Raw genomic sequence first — 25,855 nt, 5'->3', positions numbered from 1 at the left:
ATGGCAAAAACCCCAAAAATAAATCTTTTTGCAGTGTGACTGCTGTTCCCTGTGGGGAGTCCATTTAGATAACCTGCAAGTCAAAACTAATGAAAAATGGGTACTTGAATTAGTTAGACATAGGAAGAGTGTGTCCTAAGTGAAGGTTTTCTTTTTCTTTTTTTGAGATGGAGGCTCATTCTGTTGCTCAGGCTGGAGTGCAGAGGTGCAATCTGGGCTCACTGCTGCCTCCGCCTCCGGGGTTCAAGTGATTCTCCTGCCTCAGCCTCCCAAGTAGCTGGGATTATAGGCGCACACCACTATGCCTGGCTAATTTTTTGTATTTTAACTAGAGATGGGGTTTTGCTATGTTGGCCAGGCTGGTCTAGAATCCCTGGCCTCAGGTGATCCGTCCACCTCGGCCTCCCAAAGTGCTGGGATTACAGGCATGAGCCACGGCACCCAGCCAGGTTTTCAATTTTGTAAACCAATTTAGACATATTAAGAAAAGCTAAGAGCACAGAATGTTATATTGGAAGAAAACATTTCCTTTAAACCTTTAAGATAAAACATTTTTAGCATTAGGTCACAACAGCATTTAGAAAATAAGGATAAAAAGTTAGAGGAGCTGATGAAAAAGTTGGAGTGAATTATTATCTCAGGCCTTCTCAAAGGGGAGAGAAAACTGAAAACAGCAAGACACAATAAAAGTTAAATTTTGGGGTTAACAAAAATCTCCTGTAATTTCATTAAGAGTAAATCAATACCTTAAGAAAATTTTGTTGTTCTAACCAATTCTTTTGAGTATTAGGGTATTTTAATATCAAAGCCTAATCTCTACAGAGACTTTTAGAAATAATTTTCTTTTAACTATAGCCAACTTGATCACATAAAGTTTTTTTATATAAATTCTCCTTTTACAAAGTTTATTATGACTTACACAAACCATTTATGATATATGCCTATGTTCCCAGACCAAACTGAGGGTCGGGCTGCTATTTCTCGTGGCCCGATAACAAGATGCAGATGAACTGGGGAGGAAGAGAGTTTTTATTTCTGTAACCGGTTACAGGGAGAAGACCTGGAAAACACTGCTAGACCAACTCAAAATTACAAAGTTTTCCAGAGCTTATATGTCTTCTAAGCCATATGTCTATGTGTAAGTATGCATTCATCTAAAGACATAAGTGATTAACTTCTTTTAATCTGTAACTAAGATCTGAGTTCTGAAGACCTTCCTCTGGAGCCTGAGTAAATTTACTTAATCTAAATGGGTCCAGGTTCCGGGGTGATTACCCTTATCTTGTCTCCTGCTAAATCATGGAGGATTGGGAAGTTCCTTCAGACCCCAGTAAACTTGTTTGTGGAGGCCTGGGGAGTTTCTTCAGACCCCCAATAAAACTTGCTTAATCCTAAATGTATCCTGTTAAGAATTCCTTCATTATCTTGTCATGTTTCAAGGCCAGGAAAGGCTTAGGCAAAACTCTTGGTGGGCTTCTGTTACAGCCCAGCCTTTGCATAAGGTCACTGGCCCTTTCAGCTTTTAATATTTAACTTAATCAGTCAGTGCTGAAACAGTTGTTATGAAGGCCCGCATTAGTGAGACCTGGCCTGCCACACTTGGACTTCCTGTTTTATCTTAAATATCCGCTTTCTTAAATAACCAGTCATTTTATTTTGGGACAAAAAATTTACCATACAAATTCTTTCTCATATAAAATTATTTTCCTTTTAACCTTTATTATCTTTTGCCTTGTTTCATAAATAACCTTTGAATTAGAAATTATTTCCCTTTAATAAGAACATTTTTTAAAGAAAAATGTTTGCTTGCTATAATATAATTTTTAAAAATCAGGTAACAATACAAAAGCAAGCAGTTTAAGATCAGAGGGAACCTGTCTGTTTATATTCTTGGGGTTCCATATGGAAGAACAGAGATTTCTCCCCAGAAAGGAGTCTGGTGCCTTCTCTCTTTTCTTTAAGGAATCCCAGGCTGTTAGAAATTATTTAGATCCTTCATGCAGCAGAGAGTGGCAAGAGGAAGGAGAGACAGGCCAAAGTAATTTGAGGAAACAGAACTCAGTCAACTGAGAAGCAAAAAACTTTTTCTCAAAAAACAAGATCCTAGGACAGAGAAAAAGCATAAAGGCCTTATATTCATACACACACATCTTGGATATTAGCTTTTAATTAAGCTGAGTTTTAACCACTGAGCTCTTAAAAATCCTTTTAAATCTCTTTTAACCATGTTTTAGCTGGGACAACCTGCTGATATTTCAAAAGTACTAATAACACAAAATTTAAGCCAGAAAGGACCTGATTCAGGAACCAAACCCAGGCTGCTATGGTGAAAGCAGGCAGAACCTTTAGCTACTGAACTACGCTGCGGGGCAGCCACCATAGTTCTTTCAGTTTGGGCTTGGCTGGCGAAAGATGGCCTTGTTATGTAAACAAAGCCCCTCAGGTAGTCAAAATCTTTCTTTTCTTCCTTTTGCTGGCTTTTTTATTTTTTTTTTCCAGCTGCAGGAATGTAGACAATTCAGAGGCTTTGTTCCCCATAATTTGGAACTTTTCTTCAGATTTGACCAAGTCGGGTAGAGATGATCAAACCTAATGGGAAAAAGACTGAAACAACAAAAACAGAAACAGGCAAACACAACCAGGTAAGCAAAACAAAAAAATGGTCACACAATTCATACAATTACTGAGTGCTCTAATGGTAAGAAGAAATTAAAACCAGCTGATTGTTAATCTTAACTTTTAGTCATTAAGGAGAATTTCCAAGATAAAACCCCAATTCAACTACAGTTCAAGACAGTTGTTTGCGTGACCCAGCTTTCAGCTGCATTTTTTTCCTTTTGGCATAGTGAATTTATTTTCCTTTCACAAAAGAAACTCTAGCCCCAAACCATATCAAGACACTCATTGGAATAGAAGGTGTTCAGTCTCACACATATTTAGAAATATTAACTCCCTTAATAAAGCCATTTTCAGATACTGAGAACTACTTATATTTGGGGTATATGTGAGAACTAAACTCTGATTTTTTTTATCTTGCCCAAATTCCTATCTAAGGGGTCTGGGGAGTCATGCCCTACAAATCATAAATTCTCATCAGTTGGGTTTTATTTAACCCTGTATATCGTGACTTATTTTCCAACCTGACTCTGGCATAACATTATGAGACAAGGAAGAAAATCAAAATATTTTACCCCAAAATATATTTCTTTGTCATATTTGAAATGGCCCTGCAAAGCTATTCTTTGTGGGGAAAAACGTGCATCTGTAACGAATCTCTATTAACATAGCTATATATTTTTCTTCCAGACCCCCCCCCAATCGTAAAGAGATTAACTAAGATCTGAATAGGAAACATTTGTCATCTATTGTCCCTAAGGGCAGCCACCATAAGACTTCCAGAGAACTTTGGTCTCCACAATCTTTTATCTTAACCCGAACATTCCTTTTCTATCAATCCCGGGTCTTTAGGCAAACTCAACCAATTGTCAACCAGAAGATGTTTAAATTCACCTATAGCCTGGAAGCACACCCCACCCTATCCCGTTTTTGAGTTGTCCCGCCTTTCTGGACCAAACCAATGTATTTCCTAAATGTATTTGATTGATGTCTCATGCTTCTCTAAAATGTATACAACCAAGCCGTGCCCTGACCACCTGGGGCACATGTTCTCAGGACCTCCTGAGGGCTGTGTCACAGGCCACGGTCACTCGGCTCAGAATAAATCTCTTCAATTATGTAAGAGTTCAACTCTTTTTGTCGACATATGGTATGGATTTGTGTGTATACTTCTTCCCCAGTAATTCACTAGTGACACAGTATCCTGATCTAAACAGTAATTCACTATGCCAGGACTTGAAAACACGTGAACTACAACGGAAACAGCAGAAATCTATGATTTGGGTGAAAAAAAAAACCATATTTCCAGGCCATTTTAGAATAATCTGGCATGGATTTATTTCCAAACTAACCTATAGTCTGAGCCAATTTGAATGAAAGATCATGTTTCTGGGCCATTCTAGGGGAGAAAAACTGCTTTAAATCTTATGTTAAAAAAAAAAACCTAAAAAAACTCCACAATTTTAATGAATATGGATAAATAAGCTGCATGTCTGTGTCACACTGGGAAAAGATTATGGTGAGGACTTCATGTCTACTGCCTGCCCCCACCTAAGACTTAGCAGATTTGGATTAAATATTTTTTACACCATTTTAGAAGAAAAATATGGCATGCAATTATGTCCATAATTACATTTCTGGCAAGTCTGAATGAAAAAAATCATCTTTCTGAATCATTTTGGAAAAACATTTTTTGCATCGGACTTATATCCAAAAACCTTCCACTTTTTGGAAGAAAAAGCTGGCCTAGGGCTGATGTGCCAAAAAACTGGAGTAAATTTGGATTTTTTGAAAAAAACATGTTTGGGGCCATTTTGAAAGAAAGTCTGGGACAGGACTTATGTCTAATAAACCTCACAATGTTAGTAAATTTTAAGAAAAAATAATATTTCCCAGCCATTTACAAAGAACAATCTGGAATACAGCTTACCCCAAAAAACATAATTTAAGGAAATTTTGATAAAATATCACATTTTTAGGTTACTTTGGAAGAAAATTCTGGCATAGAAATTATTTCCAAAAAACTTCATTATTTGAGCCAATTTGATTGAAAAATCACATTTCCAGGCCATTTAGAAGAAAAGTCTTACACATGATTTAGATCCAAAGATCCTAAGATTTCAGTGAATTTGGATAAGAAATGACATTTTCTGCATATGTTAGAAGGAAAATCTGGTGTAGGACTTAAGTTCCAATAAGCATCCAAATTTGAGCAGATTTGCATGAAAATTTCACATTTCCAGGGGGATATGAGGAGAAATATCCAGCATATGACTTACTTCCCAAAAACCCACTATTTATATAAATTTGGATTTTTAAAACTCAGGTTTCTTACTCATTTGGGGAGAAATTTGACAAAGAATTTGTGTACCCTAAAACCCATGATTTGAATGAATTTGAATGAAAAGTGTATTTATTTCTGGGGAACTTTGTAAAATAATGTAGCATAGAATTTATGACCACATGTCCTAAAAACTTGAACAAATTTAGATGAAAAGTTACATTTCTGGGTCATTTTAGAAAAGCCTGGCATAAGAATTATTTCTAAAAACTCATAAGACTTAGTGAAGTTGGATGAAAAATAATCCTGCTTTCAAGACCATTTTGGAAGAAAAATATAGTATGGTATTACATCTAGAAAACCCTACTTATGCAAATTTGAATGCAAATTGTCTTTGTGGGCCATTTTAGAAGAAAATTCTGCTGTTGGGCTTATATTTTTAAAAAAACTCCACTGGTTATTTGACTACTGGAGCTATATAGTAAGTTTTGAAATTCGGAAGTATAAGTTCTCCAACTTTGTTCTTTTAAAAATATGTTCTTTGATTGCCTCTTTTTAACCTAAAACTTAGCACCCTGGACACAGTGTTCTCAGACTGTTTGTCCCATCCCTCCTCCCACTGATTAATCTTGGTGATTCTTTCATATAAGTACATAGTGATGCTTCTCATTCTTTGTTACGACAGCATATTGTCCGTTTGTGCATGATTTATATTTAATCAGTTCTACTGAACATGTTTTTCTTTGCTAAAATTTGAAATTACTCATGACTGCATTGAATAACTTATCTAAATCATTTTGCACATAAACATACACAGCTATTAGATAAATTCATTAAATTAGATTTTGGGCTCAAAGGGAATATGAATTTAAATTTTGAGAGATATTACCAAGTTGTCCACCAGAAGACTTGTGGCAATTTGTATTCCCAAGACTAATGTAGAAGTGTGCCTGTTTCCACCATCTACAATACTATGTCCAAATTTTGTAGTCTTTGCTAATCTGGCAGGTGCAAATATCTCTGTGTGTGGCTTTCATTTGTACCTTTACTGATGTCAAGGATATTTTCAAATGAAAGAAGACTTCTCTTCCTATGCTGTGATCTGTCCTTGTATTTTTTAGTATCTTCGACTGTGTTTTTGATTTTTAAAACTTCATTTCTAATGGTATTATGCAGATAGGAAAGACAGCATCTCTATCAAGTTTGTCTTTTGTTTTGTCCGTAAGTGTGAATTGCCTTGCAGAATTTATTTTTGTATAGACAAATCTGACCTTTTTCATTATGACTTCGAGTTTGAATCAGTTAGGAAGTCAGTCCAAGGTTATATGTTCCAATGATCTATTCCTGTATAACAGACAATCCTAAAATTTGAGGCTTAAAACAACTACTATCATCATGCCTCAGTTCTATAGGTTGACTGAACTCAGCTGAATGGTTCTCACTTGAGGTCCCTCACTTGGTTGCAGATGTCACCTAGGGTTTCAGTCGTCTGAAAGGCCTGACAGGGCAGGCCTCCAAAATAGCTCTCCCATGTGACTGCAGTTGAGGCTCACTGTTGGCTAGCTCAGCTATGGCTGATTACCAGAGTACCTCTATGAGGCCTCTCCATGTGACTAGAAGTTTTCACAGCATGGCAGCAGGGTTCAAAGTGTAGAAGCTGCATGGCTTCTTATGAACTAGTCTCAGAAGTCCCATAATATCATTTCTGCTATACCCTCTTGATGAAGCAAGTCACTAAGACCAGCCCAGATACATGGGGAAGGTAACAGGTCACTCCCCTTCACCCCATCTCATAATAAAGATATAGGGAGGGACGAATTGATTACGTCCATCTTGGAGACGATTTTCACACATCCATTCCATGTGAAATATATACTCATCCCTCCTAAGATGCCTCCAAAGTCTTATCCCACTATGGCATTGGCTCAAAGATCGGGATCTCATTCTCTAAATCAGGTCAAGGTGTAGATGATGCTTTATCTGAAGACCTGGGAACCAAAGCAGCATATCTAACACCCAGTGTAGATTCAGGGATAACTATCCCTGAAAAAGTGCTTCTATCAAAAAATGGGGAAATAGCAGGTACTGGTTCATAGAAATTCAGCAGTTCAGCTGGGCACATGCCACCAGTTACCTTAGTAGCACCGTACTGCCCCTGAGAGTGATTCTCCATGATGTCTGCAGTCCAAGTTATTCCTCCTTTTCCATGAGAAATGGCCTGTGCTTGCAGCTTAGTAGGTTTCTCACCCTGCCTCCCTGCCCATAGAAAGAGGTAGGGGCTTTTCTGTCCTTTTCAGAGCAAGCTGGTGTTCCTGTTACAAACGTTAAGGGTATGCCTCTTATTGAAGCTCATTCCATTAGACAAAACCCATATCCACAAAGCTCTTCAGGACAAGCCTCTCATTTGGGTTGAGTGTCAAGGTGCTATGGGATGATTCCCTTAAAATTTAGAACCATTTTGTGTATAGTCAAGGAGCCACACACTTAAATATTTCTGAAGTCTTAAAAAGGGGTCTTACAGTTGCACCCTTGAGATGATCTTTACCTTGAAGGACACTTATTTTGAGCAAAACCAGACACTGAAGGAGGTATGGTTAATAATATTTATGTAGGGTTAAATACCTTAAGCCCTGAGATAGGATAACTATTGAGACTGTGTGGCTTAAAGACCTTAGATCAGTTACCTGATGACTGACATGGGGACTGGGTCCTGGGATAGAGGAGCATGATTCAAAGTCCTAAACACTGGTATTACAGGACTGATTGGGGAATGTGGCTTCAAGGGTTTAATCTCTGTTATTGGAGGGCTGAGGAAGACACATGGTTAAAGATTGTCATATACAGTCAAGTGTTGCTTAACAAGGATATGTTCTGAGAAATCATTAGGTAATTTAGTCATTTTGCAAACACTATAGAGTGTACTTACCAAACCTAGATGGCACAGCCTACTATACACCTGGGCTATATGGTATAGCCTATTGCTCCTAGGCTACAAACCTGTGTAGCAGGTTACACCGAGTACTGTAGGCACTGAGTACTGTGGGCAACTGTAACACAATGCTAAGTTATTTGTGCATCTAAACATGGAAAAAGTAAGGTAAAATACAGCATAAAAGACAAAAAAAATGGTACACCTGTAGAGGGCACTTACCATAAATGGTAAGTTGCAGAACTGGAAGCTGCTCTGGGTGAGTCTATGCATCTAAACATAGAAAAAATAAGGTAAAATACAACATAAAAGCCAAAAAAAAAATGGTACACCTGTATAGGACACTTACCATACATGGCAAGTTACAGAACTGGAAGTTGCTCTGGGCGAGGCGGTGAGTGGTGAGTGAGTGTGAAGGCCTGGGACATTACTATACACTACTACAGACATACATACTGTACCCTTAGGCTACACTCAATTTATTTTTAAATTTTTCTTTCTTCAATAATAAATTAGCCTTAGCTTACTGTAGCTTTTAACTTTATACGCTTTAAATTTTTTTACTTTTTGACTCACTTGTAACTTAGCTTAAAACAAAAACACACTGTACAGCTGTACGAAAATATTTTTTGTTTTATCCTTATCCTATACGCTTTTTCTATTTTAAAAATTTTAAATTTTTGTTGTTGTTGTTGTTAAAAACGAAGACACAAGCACACACATTAGCCTAGGTCTATACAGGGTCAGGATCCATATCACTGTCTTATCCACCTCTGTATCTTGTCCCACTGGGAGGTCTACAAAGTCACTAGGTAACGGGAATTTTTCAGCTCCACTATAATCTTACCAGCCCACCACTGTATATGCAGTCCGTCGCAGACGAACATTATGCAGTGCCTGACTGTAGTTATGGAGGTGCTGATGAGGTGGTATAGCTGGGGGTGGTTGGAGATTATCTATTTTCTTGGTGGTCTGATATGGGTGTAACTGAGATCCAAGGCTCTGCTTGGTCACAGCTGCAAGACCAGGCCGTGGGACTGGAGTGCTGGGGACAATGTATTGGTGAGAGGGCCCCCGATGGAAGGACCAGGGACTAAAAAAGCCTGAGAAACACAACAAAGGTAGTCAGGGGCAAAGGCAACAACGGAGATGTTTGAAAGCTGGGAGGAGAGAAGCAGGAAAGGGGCTGTCAGAGCCAAGGGATGGGGGTAGCTGCAGATGGAGCCGGACTAGAGGAAGCTACACTTTCTGGAAGATCCCCTCCCATCCCATGAAATCTCTTTATGTAGTTCCTAGATTCTCTCCCCATACAAAGGTCCAGTCTTTCTAATAAATCTGCAAATGATTTGGTTCTTGTTTTCCGAGGAAATGAATTCCTGTGGAATAGTGGACTTAAGGGTTTCAGATGTCTGTATCATTCCTTATCCCTGTTATAGATGAGTGAATGAGGGACACAGGCACAGTTACAGATGTATAAAGAAGCCAAGTTTATTACAACCGAAGGCCACAAAACATGGAGAAGACTTAGTGTGGAGAAAGTAAACAGTCAAATGTCCTTTGACCACTTACAGAATGCATTTCTCTACTCCATTTCATCAAAGTGTCAACATTCTGACTCTTAGTCCTTGTCCCCATCTTTGCCTTCAGAGAGAGTATAAGGAATCCGAAGGTTGCCCTGCACACGGCTCAGGGTCGGGCTGCACTGGCAGTCTGTGGTGGACAGACGTGGTCTTCCTGTGTCTGCTGAGGTGAGACTTGAGGCTGAAGCCCCGCCCACACGTCTTGCACACATATGGCTTCTCCCCCGTATGTGTCATTTGATGTAAGGTGAGGTGTGACTTTTGGAGAAAGCCTTGGCCACACTCTCTGCACACACAAGGCTTCTCTTCCGAGTGAGCCCGCTTGTGTGTAATTAGAGCTGACTTATTGCCAAAGCCCAGTCCACACTGCCTGCACATGTAGGGCTTCTCCCTCGAGTGCTTCCGCTTGTGCCTGATGAGACCGGCCTGGTGGCTAAAGCCTCGCCCGCACTCTCGGCACACATACGGCCTCTCCCCTGAGTGCGTCCTCTGGTGTGCAACAAGGTTTGACTTCTGGCTGAAGCCTCGCCCGCACTCCCCACACACCATGGGCTTCTCGCCTGAGTGCGTCCTCTGGTGTCTGATGAGGTTGGATTGCTGGCTGAAGCCCCGGCCACAGTCCTTGCACACAATGGGCTTCTCTCCTGAGTGTATGTTCTGGTGTCTGTTGAGGTGTGACTTGAGACTAAAGCCTCGCCCACACACCCCACAAACATACGGCTTCTCCCCAGTGTGTGTCCGCCTGTGAGAGATGAGGGTTGAATTCTGGCTGAAGCTGTGCCCACACACCCCGCACACATAGGGCTTCTCCTTTGAGTGTGTCCTCTGGTGGTTGACAAGGGTGGTCCTCTGCCTGAAGCATCGCCCACACTCCTTGCAGGCGTAGGGCTTCTCCCCAGAGTGCGTCCTCTGGTGGGAGATGAGGTTTGACCTGTCGCTGAAGCCCAGGCCACAGTCACTGCACACGATGGTCTTCTCCTCCAAGTGTGTCCTCTGGTGTCTCACGACAGCTGACTTCTGGCTGAAGCCTTTGCCACATTCCCGGCACACGTAAGGCTTTTCCCCTGAGTGTGTCCTCTGGTGTATGATGAGGTTTGACTTCTGGCTGAAGCCTCGCCCACACTCACTGCACATGTAAGGTTTCTCACCGGAGTGTGTCCGTTCGTGTATGATTAGCGTTGACTTCCGGTTAAAGCCTCGTCCACACTCCCTGCACACAATTGGCTTCTCCCCCGAGTGTGCCTTCTGGTGTCTGGCGAGGCTCTTCTTTAGGCTGAAGCCCTTCTCACATACCCCACACACGTAGGGCTTCTCCCCTGAGTGTATCCGCTGGTGACTGAGCAGGTTTGTCATCTTGCTGAAGCTCAGTCCACACTCTCCACAGTTGACTGTTCCAAATCCTAAGACTTCTATCCTCTTCAACAATTTGTCTGTTTCCTCAGGGTTCCCTGACTGAGCTGGGCTGGCTTCTAACTCCACCCCTCTGAGGCCGTTCCGAGAGCTGACTGGCTGCCTCTGGGGTGGCCTGGAGAACGCTCCCAGAGTCCTTTTCTTGGTTCTTCCAAACAAAGGCATGGCACCTTCTCCCTCAGGACCTTCTGCTTGATCACTCCAGGGTCTCCCCTCAGAGGCTTGTTGCTGCTTCTCCTGGTCCCCTGGGCCCGGATCCCCAGGCTGGATGTTACCTTCTGCACACAAGCATGTGAAGATCCAGGGGGGATGATTACACAGCACATGCTGCATGGGGAATTTCTGACTGGAGAAACCCGGAGGGCAGAAAGGATCGAGGTAGAGCTCTGGCTCTGGATCTGCTGCAGAGAGAAAAGTGTGAGTCACAACTGAGTCCTCAGTGGGCAGCCTGAGCAATCAGCTTAGTCAGATCCCCTAGGCTTCAAAACACTTAGGCCTTAAGTGCCATCCAACCGGGACTTCCTTTACATGGCCTACTCTCCAGCCTACTGCTACTTATTACGTCTAGCATTACAATCTAGAAAACCCACTTGTTAAGACCTGCTCTACATATAAGACTACACAAGCATCCCTGGCATTTTTGGGTGTGTAAATAGGGCCAGTATGGAACAGTTCCCCCTCACCTTCAATACAATTAATTACCTTCTAACTCACAACCATGCACACTGAGATAAATCATGTCCACAAGTACTTTCTTCTTTGATGGAAAGATGTCTAACCCTAGGACTCATGTGGAAATGTCCTTCCTTATTTCCCTATGAGGACAAGGGGATGGATTGAGAAAGCAGTTATTTAGAGTGAACAGAGAAGCCCTGGTGTAGGGAGGAGCATGAGAGGGTAGTGAAACAGTATGTGACACACCCGAGCTGCTGTCTCCCCACTCAACAAAGATTTGTTAGATTACTCTATGCCAGAATTTCTAGGAGGCAGTAGGCTTTCAGCAGTGGACAACACAGAGCCCAGGTCCCCAATGACTTTAAAGGATGCTCCCTCCTGGTACCCCCAACCTATTTCCATAATTAGTGTAAATAAAATTTTCCCCAAAAATCAGTGTAAAAGAAGAAATTTCTACTTATAGTGCCTCTTGTGTAGGAGATGTCAACATTGAGTATATTGTTTTATCACAACTGGGTCTAGTCAGCTGAAGGCAATCAATGACCAGGCAATATGAGTAACGAGGTAGAGATCTCGATGGATCTACCCGAATGCTCTTTTCTTGACCAATGAAAAATCAAGCTTATTAAAAGTGTACACATCCACATTCCAGAATTATTCCATGCTACGCGAAATGCTACTTTTCAATCCTAATTACAATGAGCAGAACCACCTTTTCTTACCACTTAAAAATTCCTGACTCTTCCTACTCAGCAAACTGCCCAAGTGAATGTCTTCCCTTCTGTGTTTCACTGCCTGGCCAGTAAATAAGCTCAACTTTTCTCCTTTCAGTAGCTCTGGTGGCCTTTACCTCAGGCTTTGATGACAGACAGAGGAACCAACAATCTAACCTGATGCCTGCCTCTCCCCACGCCAGTGCTGAGGAGCTCCTGCAGAGAAAGCCTGCTCTTCCAGCCCTTGTATTCAGGACAGGTGCCGGGTGGTCCCTCAAGACCCTTTTTCAGCAGTAAATCCTACCTGCTTTCACTGAGTTCTCACTAAGTTTATTTGGTTTAATCTAGGTTGTCTGAGGTTCCACAACTCATAACTGATTTTGTGTTCTATTTCTGGCCAGCAACTTCCTTGACATTATGGAAACTTGAGTTGGGTGGAGTTGTCAGATTTGATTTATTGGCTATTTTGTTTCTCTTGAATACGACAGGAGAAGGGAAGCAACAGCTCATATCTCCTTGGCTTACCTTCATACATATTAGGGCATAGTCATGGGTAAGTAGGTCTTTCAGCAGTAAAAGGAACTCCTGTGTCTGTCCTGAGTTAAGCACAGTGACTATAATTTTGACACAGGTAATACCTCCCACCCACCCTTATAAGAACCAAGGCTTCTGATATGTAGGCTTATTACAGCCCTAGCTGCTGTGCCTATGTGTAAAGTGGCAGGCTTTTATTTACACTAAATGTATTTCAGAATTATAGAAGCGCCTTCAGAGAAATCTTAATTCAACATGGTTTTAACATTTGTATGGAGTGACAGAAGAAAAACAAAACTTTAATTCTCCATTAGTCAGTTTTTTCAGTTGGTCACCAAATTTGGCATTCTGTGTATACACTAGGAATATTTAGTCTTAGAAGAAATTTTAACACAAAATATTACCAGGTTAATGAATTTATTTATAAAATATTTTAAATCTAAGGTGCTCCTGCACTGATAGGTTTATAGAGACTAATGGGCACTGACACAAATTTAAAATTTAAAAACTCGAGAATAACTAAATTAAAAAAAAAAAATCAGGCCAGGTGTAGCGGCTCACGCCTGTACCAGCACTTTGGGAGGCTGAGTCGAGTGGATCACTTGAGGTCAGGAATTTGAGACCAGCCTGGCCAACATGGTGAAACCCTGTCTCTTCTAAAAATATAAAAATTAGCTGGTTGTGGTGGTGTGCACCTATAATTTCAGCTACCCAGGACGCTGAGGCAGGTGCTTGAACCTGCGTGGCGGAGGTTGCAGTGAGCCGAGATTGCGCCACTGCATTCCTGCCTGGGCAACAGAGCAAGATTCTGTCTCAAAAAAATAAAAAATAAATAAAATTGAAAATTGAACTCCTAATGATTCAAATATGCCAGTTTCTGAAGGAAATCTTTCTTGCTGCAGCTGAAGCTCTGGCTCTGAAGAAAAAAGTTTAGCTGTGAATTAAGCCAGGCACCTTGCTTATTAGGTTGCACGATAAGAAAGAAATGTGAGGCACTCAGAGCTTATTTACTACAATATGTAAACAACCTTACTAGCTGGTATGTAACTAAAGGGTGGAATCAATATTTCAAAGTAAGATAAAGCCTGCAAATAAGACAAATGCAATGTCTTTTCCCTTATTTTATCAGTGTAAACATAACATTAGCATAATATTCTAGTGATATAAAACTTGGTTCTGATATGTAGGCTTTCTCAAAGAAAGTTTAACTAATCTAAACTTCCAAGACTAATATATAGGTTCAGCATCCCTAATCTGCAAAGTTCCAAAATCTGAAAATCTTTAAGCACCAACATGCAGCCACAAGTAGAAAATTCCACAGCTGATCTCATGTGACAGGTCATAGTCAAAACACAGGCACATAAAATTCAGTTTATTCAGCATCCTCAAAGGAAAAATATAATTACCTTCAGGCCAAGTGTACAAGGTGTACACAAAACATAAATGAAATTCCTGTTTAGACTAGGGTCCTATACCCAAGATATCTCATTATGTTTATGGTAATATTCCAAAATGCAAACCAACCAACCAACCAACCAAACAAACCCAAAATCTGAAACACTTATGGTCCTAAGCATTTTGGATAAGGGAGAGTCAACCTATACTGATTTTAAAAATCAGATAGGCTAATATTGCCTTCATAAATATGTAAGATTAGGCACATGTAGATATATGTGTCCAACTAGTATCTTATAATTTACAGACAGTGCCAGAAATTACGTGAATCTACAATTACTTTACTCAAAGTAAATACCAGAAATGGCATATTTTTCAGGCAGTTTTTAACTTAAGACTGATTAAGTTGTTTTTCAATTTCTAAGATCTCTGTTAGGAAATCATTATAAGAATAAATATTTTTGTTAAAAAATTCAAAAACAAAACTATACAAAGTGTTCTCATGCAATAATTTTACTTGTATTTTTGCCTAAACTAATGAGATCAGCCTTATGTTAATTATTTGAGACTGAAACTTAAAACTTTAAATACCGTCCATCAACACTATATATGCTTAAAAACATGTACAATTATTTAGCTTGCCAATAAACAGAAAAAAGCTTAAACTTGACAATAATACTGGTAACTAAAAAAGAATTATAACTTGGTGTATTTCTGTCCTCCATATGAAAAATAACTAATTTTTGTCTTTTGTATACTCAACTTAGAAATAAAAGCTCTATTTTTACCTCACCAGATATCCAATTTCTCATTCTTTATTTTTTAAATTTCTTACAGATAGGATCTCACTCTGTGGCCCAGGCTGAAGTGCAGTGGTACAATCATAGATCACGTAGCCCAAATTCCTGGGCTCGAGCAATCCTCCCTCCTCAGCTTCCTAAGTAGCTGGGACTACAGGCACACAACACCTCACCCTGGCTAATTATAAAAATTTTTTTAGAGACAGAGTCTCGCTATGTTGCCCAGGCTGGTCTTGAACTCCTGGCCTCAAGTGATCCTCCTGCCTTGGTCTCAGCCTCCTGAGTAGCTAGGAATACAGGTGCAAGCCACAGCACCTGGCTTTAGTTCTCATTCTTAGGCTTCTGTGTTACCTCTTACCAGGCTTCTTAGTCAATATAAATAACAAGGATTAGTCACTTCAGGAGGGCATATAATTCTTCATAATTATGGTAACTCCTGTTACTTTTAAAAAACTAATTAATTTTTAAATTGACAAAAAATGTATATATTCATTGTGTACATTTTGAAATATATATACATTGTGACATGGCTAAATTGAGCTAATTAACATATTGCATCACCTCACATACCTATCATTTTTTGTGATGAGAACACCCAAAATCTACTCTTAGTGATTTTCAAGAATACAATATATTGTTATTAACTGTAGTCATCATGTTATACAATAGATCTCTTGAACTTATTCTTTCTATGTGAAAATCCTTTGACCAACATCTTCCCCAACCACCCCCATCCCCTAGTAACCACCATTGTATTCTCTTTCTCTATGAGTCCAACCTTTTTAGACTGCACATATAAGTAAGATTGTGTGGTATTTGTCTTTCTGTGACTGGCTCATTTCACTTAACATAACATCCTCCAGGTTCATCCATGTTGTTGCAAATGATTCCGTTACATTTATTGAATTAGCATTCTGATTAATGAAACAGCCGAGAAAATTAAATACTTTTCTTGTAACTAGCCTATTTTGAGGATTCTGATATTGCCTGTCTTAAATCCAAGTCCCAAATATAGAATAATGAAACCGTTAAGATGTATTTTATACCTAGAACAGTCTTCCTCCCGTTACACATATATTTTGGGTTTCCAAGACAGCTTCCTGGGCAACCACAATGACTTGCTCCTTGGATTGTACAGCATTCTTTTTAATGTGCTCAACATCATTGTAAGAGCTGCTGTTTTTCTTTAAATTAAAACAAGGATTAAAAACGAGACAAAAAAGATAGGTTTCGCTTTAAGACAATGATAGGTAAGCTGCTTGTTATTAATATAAATGTTTTGATAATTCTATACTTTTCAGGTTGAGAAAACACATATTTGTGTAAATGTACAAAGGTCAGGGTGTATAGCATTTTCCCAGCCTCCACCTGCCAATTCTAGAATGAACACACAGGTCAGATAATGCCCCTACATCCTCTCCTTCTCTGTCCAACATTCCTTCCATGTCCTTGGCTAGACACCTCTCTTGTTCCTTGAGAGGAAGATTTTTGTAAGATTCCCTCAAGTAGATAGACAGCTTCTTCCTTTCATATCTCAAGCATTACACAGTGGGATGAATGTCCTTGTTTTGTAATGTGGCTTCCACACCATTACCTACCATACTTTTTTTAGGACCATCCACAGGTCTCCTGGTTTCACACACTGCCCTGAATATTTGATCACCTACCAGCCTCACATCCTCTCCACACCAATACCTGTCAGCACTCTCAGGGTGCTCCACAGGGCTGAGCCTCTGGCTAAGACTCCAACTTCTCAGCAACACTGACCTCACCTGCACTGTGAATGCTGTTCACAGACACTGCACAATCTTCACATTCTCTCCTGTGCACATTCCCTTCTCTGACACAGCCTTTTCTTCTACCTTCTGACTCACTTTGCTCAAGCACCATGGGCACATTGGTTCCTGACCTTATTTGGGGCTCCAATCCATGACCTTTCAGCTTATACACCAGTCCCTCATCTTTACTCCTTCATACAACTGAGATCCAATGGACTTACATATCCAACTGACCTTTTATGGAACTATATATTCGGCGGAGAGTCTATGAAATCACTATGGTGCTCTCACAAGGATGCTGTTATGGACTGAGTTGTGTTTCCCCCAAATTCTTATGTTGAAGCTGTAATCCCTAATGTGACTGTATTTGGAGACAGGGCCTTTAAAGAGGTAATTAAGGTTAAATAAGGTCGTAAGGGTGGGCCCTAATCCAATGGGGCTGGTGTCCTTTTAAGAAGAGGAAGAGACGACAAAGATGTGTGAGCATTGAGAAAGGGCCATGTGAAGACACAGGGGGAAGGTGGCCATCTGTAAGTTCAGGAGTGAGGACTCAGAGCAACCAAACCTGCTGACAACTTGATCTTGAACTTCTGGCTTCCAGAACTATAACTAAATGAATTTCTGTTGTTTAAGCCAGCTAGTCCACAGTATTTTGTCATGGCGGCCCAAGGTGACTAATACAGATGCTTTACTTCCTTTGCCCTGACCTTCCTTCTTTCCTATTGCTGTAGTAAAACACCTACTCATCTGCCTCAGTCAACCCCTGAGCAAGTCTCATGAAATTTATCTGTTATTAAGTAAAGTCACTATTAAAAGTTAACACCACTTGGTTTGACAGCAAATGCAACACCAGCTACATGCTGCTGCTTAAAAGCAAAACACCCAAATGACAATGTTTTTATTTTAAAATAAAAGGATGAACAATAAAATACCAAAAAGATGCACCAGAAAGTACAGTGCTAAGACTAAAAAGAAATAAAGAGGAAGTTAAAGGAAACAATAGCTCATGGAACTAAGAGAATTTCAGCATTAAAAACTTCATTAATGAGTAAGATAAAAATATCCTGAACCTTTCTATACCTAATAGAACAATAAAGTGAAATATAACACAAAAACTTAGAAATAAATGGAGAAGTTGATATAAATTACGACTGTGGAGAGCTTTAGGATTCCTTCTAACAGATGAACAGTAAGGATACAAGCAAGTTGAAAAACAGCGACAATTTATATTATGTATGCTATGGTCCCTCAATTTGAAGACAGAATTAATCAATTTAATAAAAACAAGAGGAGAAAATTTCTTACCCAGAAAAAGAAAATATATACTTCTGTGCAAACATTTATAAAACTGTCAAAAGAATTTTAAAAATTAAAGCACATATATAATTTCTTAAAGTTATCTATGTGTCTGTCATTTAAAAATAATGCAAAGTAGGATGAAAAATTCTCAGCAGCCCCTTGTCCAACCCTCCCCAATTCTATCCCCACAGAGGTAACCACTAGTAATGGTAAATAACAACAGACTTCTATGTTCACATAAACATATGGATATATACTCTTTCATACACTTCTCTTTGTTTAACAACAAACTCAACTGCATAGTATACAAAATCCTATAACTTTTTCACTTAATAAGTTATCCACTTAGTGTCTGATTTAAAGAAGATAAAGTAAAATTTAATTATAATTAGTGAACAGATAGGAAATCTCACCACAAAGAAAAGTGTAGTAAAAGTGAATGGAAATTGCAGAACTGAAAAATAAGTGAAATGAAGGATTCACTGGCCAGAGCTTAGCACATTGGAAATGACAAATGAGACAGTAAACTTGAAGACAGACCAACAGAAATCATCCAGTCTAAAGAACAGAGAGAAAAAAAAGATTTAAAAATATGGAAAGGATCTATAACCTGTGGGATTATATAAAAAGGACTAATATACATGTGCCTATAGTCCCAAAAGGGGACAGAGAGATTCAGGCAGATAAAAACATGTAAAGGAAGAATGTACTTAAGGCAGTCACATCACAGTGAAACTGCTGAATACCAAAAGTATGGAGAAAAGTAGCCAAAGGAAATAAAGCTAAATTATGTTCATGGTGACTTCTCCATCAGAAACAATGGCAGGCAGAACAATGGAATGCTATCTTTAACGTGCTGAAAAAATAACCAATGTAGAATTCTACATCGAGCGAAGATACACTTCAAGAATGAAGGTAAAATAAAGACACTTTCAGAAGCAATAGAGAATACACTGCCACCTGTACCATAAGAAATGCCAAATGAAGTCCTTAAGGTTCAAGAAAAATAATACCAAAGGTAAACTCGGATTTTCAAACAAACAAAAAGAACAGAAAATGATAAATTATCTGGATAAGTTAAAGACTATTTTTTCTCTTAATTAAAAAAATACATTGTAGAAAACAAATCCAGATGAACATTTAAAACAAACATTTTAACATTGTAATAAGGAGTGTATAATACAAATGACAATTATAGTACAAAGGATGTTGGGAGGGGGGGTGATTGGAACTGTGTAATTGCAATGCTCTTACATTTTATATTTTACCCAGATTAAGTATTAATAGAATATAAAAAGTTAAGGCTATGTATTGTACTCCCTTAGAGCATGGGCCAGCAAACTTTTTCTTAAAGATAGTAAATAGTTCAGGCTTTGATGGTTAAGAGGCAAAATTAAGGATATTATATAGATATTTATATAACATTATAAAATGTAAAAGCCATTCTTGAATAGCTCACAGTTTTTTTTAGAATTCCATTTCAATTTCTCTATTGGCTTTTTAGATTTCTTCCTCCCACTGGGCTTGCCTTCTTTCTGTAGGTCACAGTTGTTTCCATATTCTTGATGATCTTTTTAAAAAACAGTAACAAGAGAAAGAAGCCCATATATATGAAAGAGAACTGAGTGAGCTAGAGAGGAGAAACCCACTGGGAGGAAAAAAGGCTTCCTAGTGGAGGAAGGAGACGAGACACCAGGAAAGCCCCGTCCATACTCGAATGAAGATGGAGATCTGGAAGGGAGGCCGTGTCAGGCAATCTAAACAGCAGCCCAGGAGGTCAGGGGAACAGCTTCCCTCCCCAGCACCTGAGCAACGCCTCCTCTCCCCCAGTCCTCTGAGCTGCTGAGCTCATGTCTCATTTGTCCAGTGTTTTCCCACTCACCTGGACAGGTTGCCGGTGAACATTTTTTTTCCTCTCTCCAGGTCTCTTTCCCTTGCTCCAGCTGGGTGATGAGTTCTGGTTTAGAAAATGAAATTCCTGCTCACAGGAAAAGAAAATAAGTAACTAGGTTATGGGCTCAAGAGCCCATTCAAGAATTCAAAGCTAAACAGCCTAGGAAACTTCAAAGGTAGTACAAAGCCCTGAGTTGGAAGAGGTGAGTGGGGCTCTCAGAAATGGAAGGGATGAGTGGGCAGTGAACTCAGATGAGAGTACACTGATTCTATTCCATGCCGAGTAGATGAACACCCCTCTCATTTAAAACAAGTTAACATAGGATGAGAACCCCAGCCTGAGAAAAAAGGCCTAGAAATGCAGAGTAGCACACACAATACACATATGCACACACACAACAAATCTACCCATTTTCCACTCTGCAAAATCAGACCCTCCCTGGGGAAACACGAATAAAATGTAGTTGCTTTTTGGTCCAACCCAAAGGTCAAGTAACAAAGCAAGATGGCTGCTTCAAGCATAGCCTAAAATTCCCAGCAATAAGAATGGGAATCCTAACAGATATCAGGCTTACCCAGTGAGACCAGGTTGCTGTAGTTCTCCAGCATCACCTCTCTGTACAGAGTCCTTTGAGCAGGGCTCAGCAGCCTCCACTCATCCTGGGTGAAATCCACAGCCACATCCCTGAATGCCATGTGTGCCTGTAACACAAAACTGAGCCCTGCTCACTCAGAAGCCAGCCTTGCCCATGGCAGGGTGAGGGGCAGGGATAAGGCTGCCCTGGGGGAGGCAGGTGAGATATCAAGATCCCAGTGACCCTGGTGCCATGTGTTCCAAGACTTTTAAATCCCTGTCTCAATCCAGCCAGTGGCATTTGTGAACCCATACAGTCAAGATCCTGGGGGGCCACACAGGGTATATGTGCACAAAATGGAGTCCCTACATTTTGGGAACTTTAAATCTAGGCAGACAGAAGAGCAAGCAACATATAAAATGTAAGCAACAATAAAGGATAACAGATTTTCCGAGTTTTAAGAATTTAAAAGATCAAATAGTCCACTATAACTCAGTAATTCCTCAAAATCCTACGGCTTGGCTTTCTCGGGCCTGATGGTCACAAGCAGAGAGTAGTGAAGCCCTGGAATCATGGTGCCTGAGTTTCAGACCCACCTCTGCCACCAACTAGTATCCCAGTTTTCTTACCTGTGAAATGTAGAAAACAGTTCATTAAACTTCCAGCCTTAGACTGTGAGTGCTCACCATGGAGCTTCTTGGCCACTCAGTCCAAAAATTCATCTTTGCATCCTATTCTCATGCCCCTGCCCAGTTTTATTCTTTTAATTTTCTTAGCACTACTTCCAAATGGAGGACACACTGGAATAGAGATTAGAAAGGGGTTTCTAAGACAGGGCATGGCAACTTGGTCTTGGAGAATGGGTTGGAATCAAGGGAAGAAGAAAGTGCTAGGAACTACAGATGAGGCATGTGGGGAGCAGGGACAAGGACATTATGAGCAAAGGAAGACAAAGCCAAAATGTAGGCAGGGAGGGCCCCCTAGGAGGAATAAAAGCCACCTACTGGTAGAATCCAGAACTTTTTCATCCCACATTGAAACACTGTAACTATTAAACAATAACTTCCCATTCTTTCCTCCCGCTAGATCCTGGTAGTGACCATTTTGCTTTCTGTCTCCATTATATATGTGGTTATTCTATGTAGCTACAATAAGTGCAATCATATATGTCCTTTTGTGTCTGACTTATTTCGCTTAGCATGTCTTCGAGATTTAGCCATGTAGAAGCATGCACTCAGAATTTACTTCCTTGTTAAGGCTAAATAATACTCCATTGTGTGTATATACTACATTTTGTTTATGCACCTGTTAATAGACATTTGGTTTGTTTCTAGCTTCTGGCTATTCTTCCATGCACATGGTTGTATAAATATTTGTTGAAGTCCCTTCAGCTCTTTTGGGTATACACTCAAAAGTGGAATTACTGGATCAAACAGCAATTCTATAGGAACCACCACACTGTTTTCCACAGCAGCTGTACCATTTTGCATTCCCACCCGCAATGCACAAGGGTTCTGTTTTCTCCACAACCTTGTCAACACTTACTGCTTTCTAGTTTTGGGTTTTTTTTAAAGTAATAGCCATACTAATTGGTATAAGGTGGTATCTCATTGTGGTCTTCATTTGTATTTTCCTAATGTGAATGATAGTGAACATCTTTTCAGGTGCTTATTGGCCACATGTATATCTTTGCAAAAATGACTATTCAAATCCTTTGTCCATTTTTAAGCTGGGGCGTTCTTCTATTGTTGTTAAGCTGTAGGAGTTCTTTATATATTCTAAATATTAATCCCTTATCAGATATGTGACTTGCAAATATATTCCCTTCCTTTGATGAATGAAAGTTTTAAATTTTGATGAAGTCCAAGTTCACTATTCTTTTCTTTTATTGCCTATGTTTTGGTGTCATTTCCAAGAAATCATCACCAAATCCAAAGTTATAAAGATGTTTGCCTAGGTTTTCATCTACAATTTTTATAGTTTTCACATTTATGTTTAGGTCTTCGATCCATTTTCAGTTAATTTGCGTATATGGTGTTAGGTAAGGGTTCAACTTCATTCTTCAGCATATAAATATACAGTTTGCCCAATAGCGTTTGTTGAGTATAGTCTTTTTCATATTGAATGGTCTTGCCACTCTTGTCAAAAATCATTTGACCATATATGCAAGGGTTTATTTCTGGGATCTCTATTCTGTTCTATTAGTCTGTAAGTCTGTTTTTATGCTAGTACCACAGTTTGGGTTACTGTTGCTTTGTAGTAAATTCTGAAATAAGGAACTGTAAGTCCTCCAACTTGGTTCTCTTTCATGATTGTTTTAGGTATTCAGTGTCCCTTGAGATTCCATATCAAGTTTAATATGAATTTTTCTATTTATTAAAAAAATTGTTATTTTTATAGGGATTACATTGACTCTGTAGATTGGTTTGAGTAGTATTATTATTTTAACATTAAGTTTTCTGGCCAGGTGCGGTGGCTCACATCTGTAACCCTAGCACTTTGGGAGGCCGAGGCAGGTGGATCACCTGAGGTCAGGAGTTCAAGACCAGCCTGGCCAACATGGCGAAACCCCGTTTCTATTAAAAAATACAAAAATTAGCCAGGTGTGGTGGCAGCACCTATAATCCCAGCTACTTGGAAGGCTGAGGCAGGAGAATTGCTTGAACCTGGGGGGTGGAGGTTGCAGTGAGCCAAGATCATGCCACTGCACTCCAGCCTGGGCAAAAGAGCAAAACTCTGTTTCAAAAAAAAAAAAAAATAGTTTTCCAGTCTACAAACATGTGATGTCTTTCCATTTATTTACATCTTTCTTTCAGCAGTATTTTGTAGTTTTCAGTGTATGTCTTTCATCTCCTTGGTTAATTCCTAAGCATTTTTTTCTTTTTGATGCTATTTTAAATGAAATTGTTTTCCTCATTTTCTATTAGGATTGTTCACTGTTAAGTGTATAGATATGCAACTGATTTCTGTGTGTTGACTTCATATACTAGTTCTAATAGGTTTGTGTGTGTTTAGTCTTTAGGGTCTTCCACATTTAAGATCACGCCACCTGCAAACTCAGATAACTTCGCTTTTTCCCATTCAGATGGCATTTGTTTCTTTTTCTTGCTTATTTTCTCTGGCTAACACTTCCAATACTCTGTTGGCTATAAGTGGCAAAAGTGGGCATTGCTGCCTTATTGCTGATGTTGGAGCTTTCAGTCTTTCACCATGGAGTATGTTAGCTGTGAGATTTTTGCATATGGCCTTATTATAGAGTGGTTTCCTTCTATTTCTAGTTATTTTCTATAAAAGGGTGCTAAATTCTGTCAAATACTTTTCTGCATTGAGATGATCATGTGTTTTTTTTCTTTCATCTGTTAATGTGATATTTTATATGCATTGATTTTTTTTTTTTTTTTTTGAGACAGAGTTTTTGCTCTTGTCACCCAGGCTGGAGTGCAGAGGCACGATGTTGGCTCACTGCAAGCTCTGCTTCCTGGGTCCAAGCAATTCTCCTGCCTCAGCCTCCAGAGTAGCTGGGATTACAGGCACGTGCCACCATGCCTGGCTAATTTTTTTGTATTTTCAGTAGGGATGTGGTTTCACCATGCTGGCCAGGCTGGTCTCGAACTCCTGACCTCAGGTGATCCACCAACCTCGGCCCCCCAAAGTGCTGGGATTACAGGCATGAGCCACCGTGCCCGGCCATATACCCATTTATTTTTGTATGTTGAACAATCCTGCATTTCAGGAATAAATTCCACTTGGTCATGGTGTATAATTCTTTTCAAACGCTTGTTGAATTCAGTTTGCTAGTATTTTGTTGAAATTTTTTGCATCAATGTTATAAATGATGTAATTTTCTTGTAGTGTCTTTGTCTGGTTTTGGTATCAGAGTAATGCTGGCCTCACAGAATGAGTCAGGCAGTATTCCCTCCTCTTCAATACTTTTGGAGAAGTTTGAGAAGAACTAGTGTTAGTTCTTCTCTAAATGTTTGGCAGAATTCACCAGCAAAGTCATCAGGTCCAGGAGGGCCTGATTGTTTATCAGGATGGTTTTGATTACTGATTCAATCTCCTCACTAGTTATACACTTATTCAAAATTTTGATTTCTTATGATTCAGTCTTGATAGGTTTTGCATTCTAAGAATTTGCCCACTTCATCTAGGGCATCCGATTTGTTGGCATACAATTTATAGTTCTCTTGTACAATCCTTTTTACTTCTGTAGAAACAATAGTAATGTCCTCACTTTCATTTCTGATTTTAGTAATTTGAGTTTTCTTATTTTCTTAGTCAATAAAGCTAAAGGTTTGTCAATTTATTTAATCCTTTCAAAGAACCAACTTTAAGTTTTGTTGCTTTCTGCTATTATCCTTCTATTCTCTATTTTATTTGACTCTGCTCCAGTGTTTATTATTTCCTTCCTTCTGCTAGCTTTAGGTTTAGTTTGTTCTTCTTTTTCTGGTTCCCTAAGTTGTAAAATTAGGTTGTTCCTTGGAGATTTTGCTTTCTAATGTATTTCAGCTAAAAATTTCCTGCCTAGCACTTTACTTCATCTCATAAGTTTTCCTATGTTGTGTTTCTTTCTCACTTGACTCAAAGTATGGTCTAATTTCCCTTGTAGTTTATTCCTCTACCTACTGGTTTAAGAGTATGTTCTTTAATTTTCACGTATTTGTGAATTTTTAAATTTTCTTTCAGTTATTGGTTTCAATCTTCATCTTGTTGTGGTAGAAGATACTTCTTATGATATCAGTCTTAATTTGTGGCCTAACATTTAGTCTATCCTGCAAAATGTCCCATGTGTACTTGAGAAGAACGTGTATTCTATTTTTGTTGGGTACAATGTTCGGAATATGTCTATTATATCTATTGGATTTACACCTTGTTCAAGTCTTCTATTTTTTTACTTATTGTCTTTCTTATTGTTCTATCCATTATTTAGAGTGGGGTACTGAAATCTCCAATTATTATTATAAAACTCTACTCCCTATAATGCTGCCCATTTTTCTTTATATATTTAAAGGGTCTGTTATGAGGTATATGTGTATAATTTCTATATCTTCTTGCTGTAGTAAACCTTTTGTATTAATGTCTTCCTTATCTCTTGTAACCTTTTTCAATTTAAAGTCTATTTTTTCTGGTATTAATGTAGCCACTCCTACTTTCTTTGGTTTCTATTTGCATGAAACGTCTTTTTCCATTCTTCTGAAACTATTTGTGCCTTTGGATATAAAGTGAGTTTCTTGTAGACAGCATATAGTTAGATCATGTTTTTTTAAATCCACTATGCCAAATTGTTTTAGAGTTTAAAGCATTTACATATAAAATAATTACTGATAAGGAGGGACTGATTTCTGCTATTTTGCTTTTTGTTTTCTACATGTCTTGC

General features: G+C 39.2%; 1 protein-coding gene and 1 long non-coding RNA gene across 60 annotated transcripts in view, besides 1 other annotated feature; one reads left to right on the top strand and one right to left on the bottom strand.

The window, feature by feature from the left end:
- Positions 1–14,925, top strand: part of ZNF133-AS1 (ZNF133 antisense RNA 1) — a 47,923-nt gene extending 32,998 nt beyond the window's left edge. The window contains exons 3-7 of one of the 2 annotated variants that reach the window (NR_187569.1): positions 1,052–1,138; positions 2,500–2,642; positions 9,474–9,574; positions 10,849–11,233; positions 12,323–14,925. This is a non-coding gene — a long non-coding RNA (ZNF133 antisense RNA 1). Of the gene's footprint in view, positions 1–1,051; positions 1,139–2,499; positions 2,643–9,473; positions 9,575–10,286; positions 10,457–10,848; positions 11,234–12,322 lie in introns of both variants that reach the window. The other variant, NR_187570.1, reaches the window with a different exon arrangement.
- Positions 2,114–2,737: an enhancer, noted in NCBI's record as "OCT4-NANOG hESC enhancer chr20:18304193-18304816 (GRCh37/hg19 assembly coordinates)". NCBI's record gives its function as "activates a minimal SCP1, AML or CMV promoter by ChIP-STARR-seq in naive H9 embryonic stem cells {active_cell/tissue: H9 hESC(naive)}" and the evidence as "EXISTENCE:reporter gene assay evidence [ECO:0000049][PMID:30033119]".
- ZNF133 (zinc finger protein 133) overlaps positions 9,290–25,855 on the bottom strand; it is a 28,470-nt gene continuing 11,904 nt past the window's right edge. For 6 of the 58 annotated variants that reach the window (NM_001387300.1, NM_001387301.1, NM_001352455.2 and 3 more), the window contains 4 exons: positions 21,108–21,278; positions 20,479–20,605; positions 19,893–19,988; positions 9,290–11,217 (listed from right to left, as the gene is read on the bottom strand). In NM_001387300.1, coding sequence (NP_001374229.1) covers positions 9,470–11,217; positions 19,893–19,988; positions 20,479–20,599 — 1,965 coding nt within the window. In that variant the 5' untranslated portion in view covers positions 20,600–20,605; positions 21,108–21,278 and the 3' untranslated portion in view covers positions 9,290–9,469. Of the gene's footprint in view, positions 11,218–15,979; positions 16,118–19,469; positions 19,581–19,892; positions 20,016–20,478; positions 20,619–21,107; positions 21,279–25,855 lie in introns of all 58 variants that reach the window. The other 52 variants (NM_001387299.1, NM_001387305.1, NM_001352464.2 and 49 more) reach the window with 26 other exon arrangements.

The sequence above is a fragment of the Homo sapiens genome, chromosome 20, assembly GCF_000001405.40.
Source record: "Homo sapiens chromosome 20, GRCh38.p14 Primary Assembly".
Taxonomy (NCBI): Eukaryota; Metazoa; Chordata; class Mammalia; order Primates; family Hominidae; genus Homo; species Homo sapiens.
The sequence above is the reverse complement of the archived record's forward strand: the minus strand, read 5'-3'. Positions and strand labels throughout refer to the sequence as shown.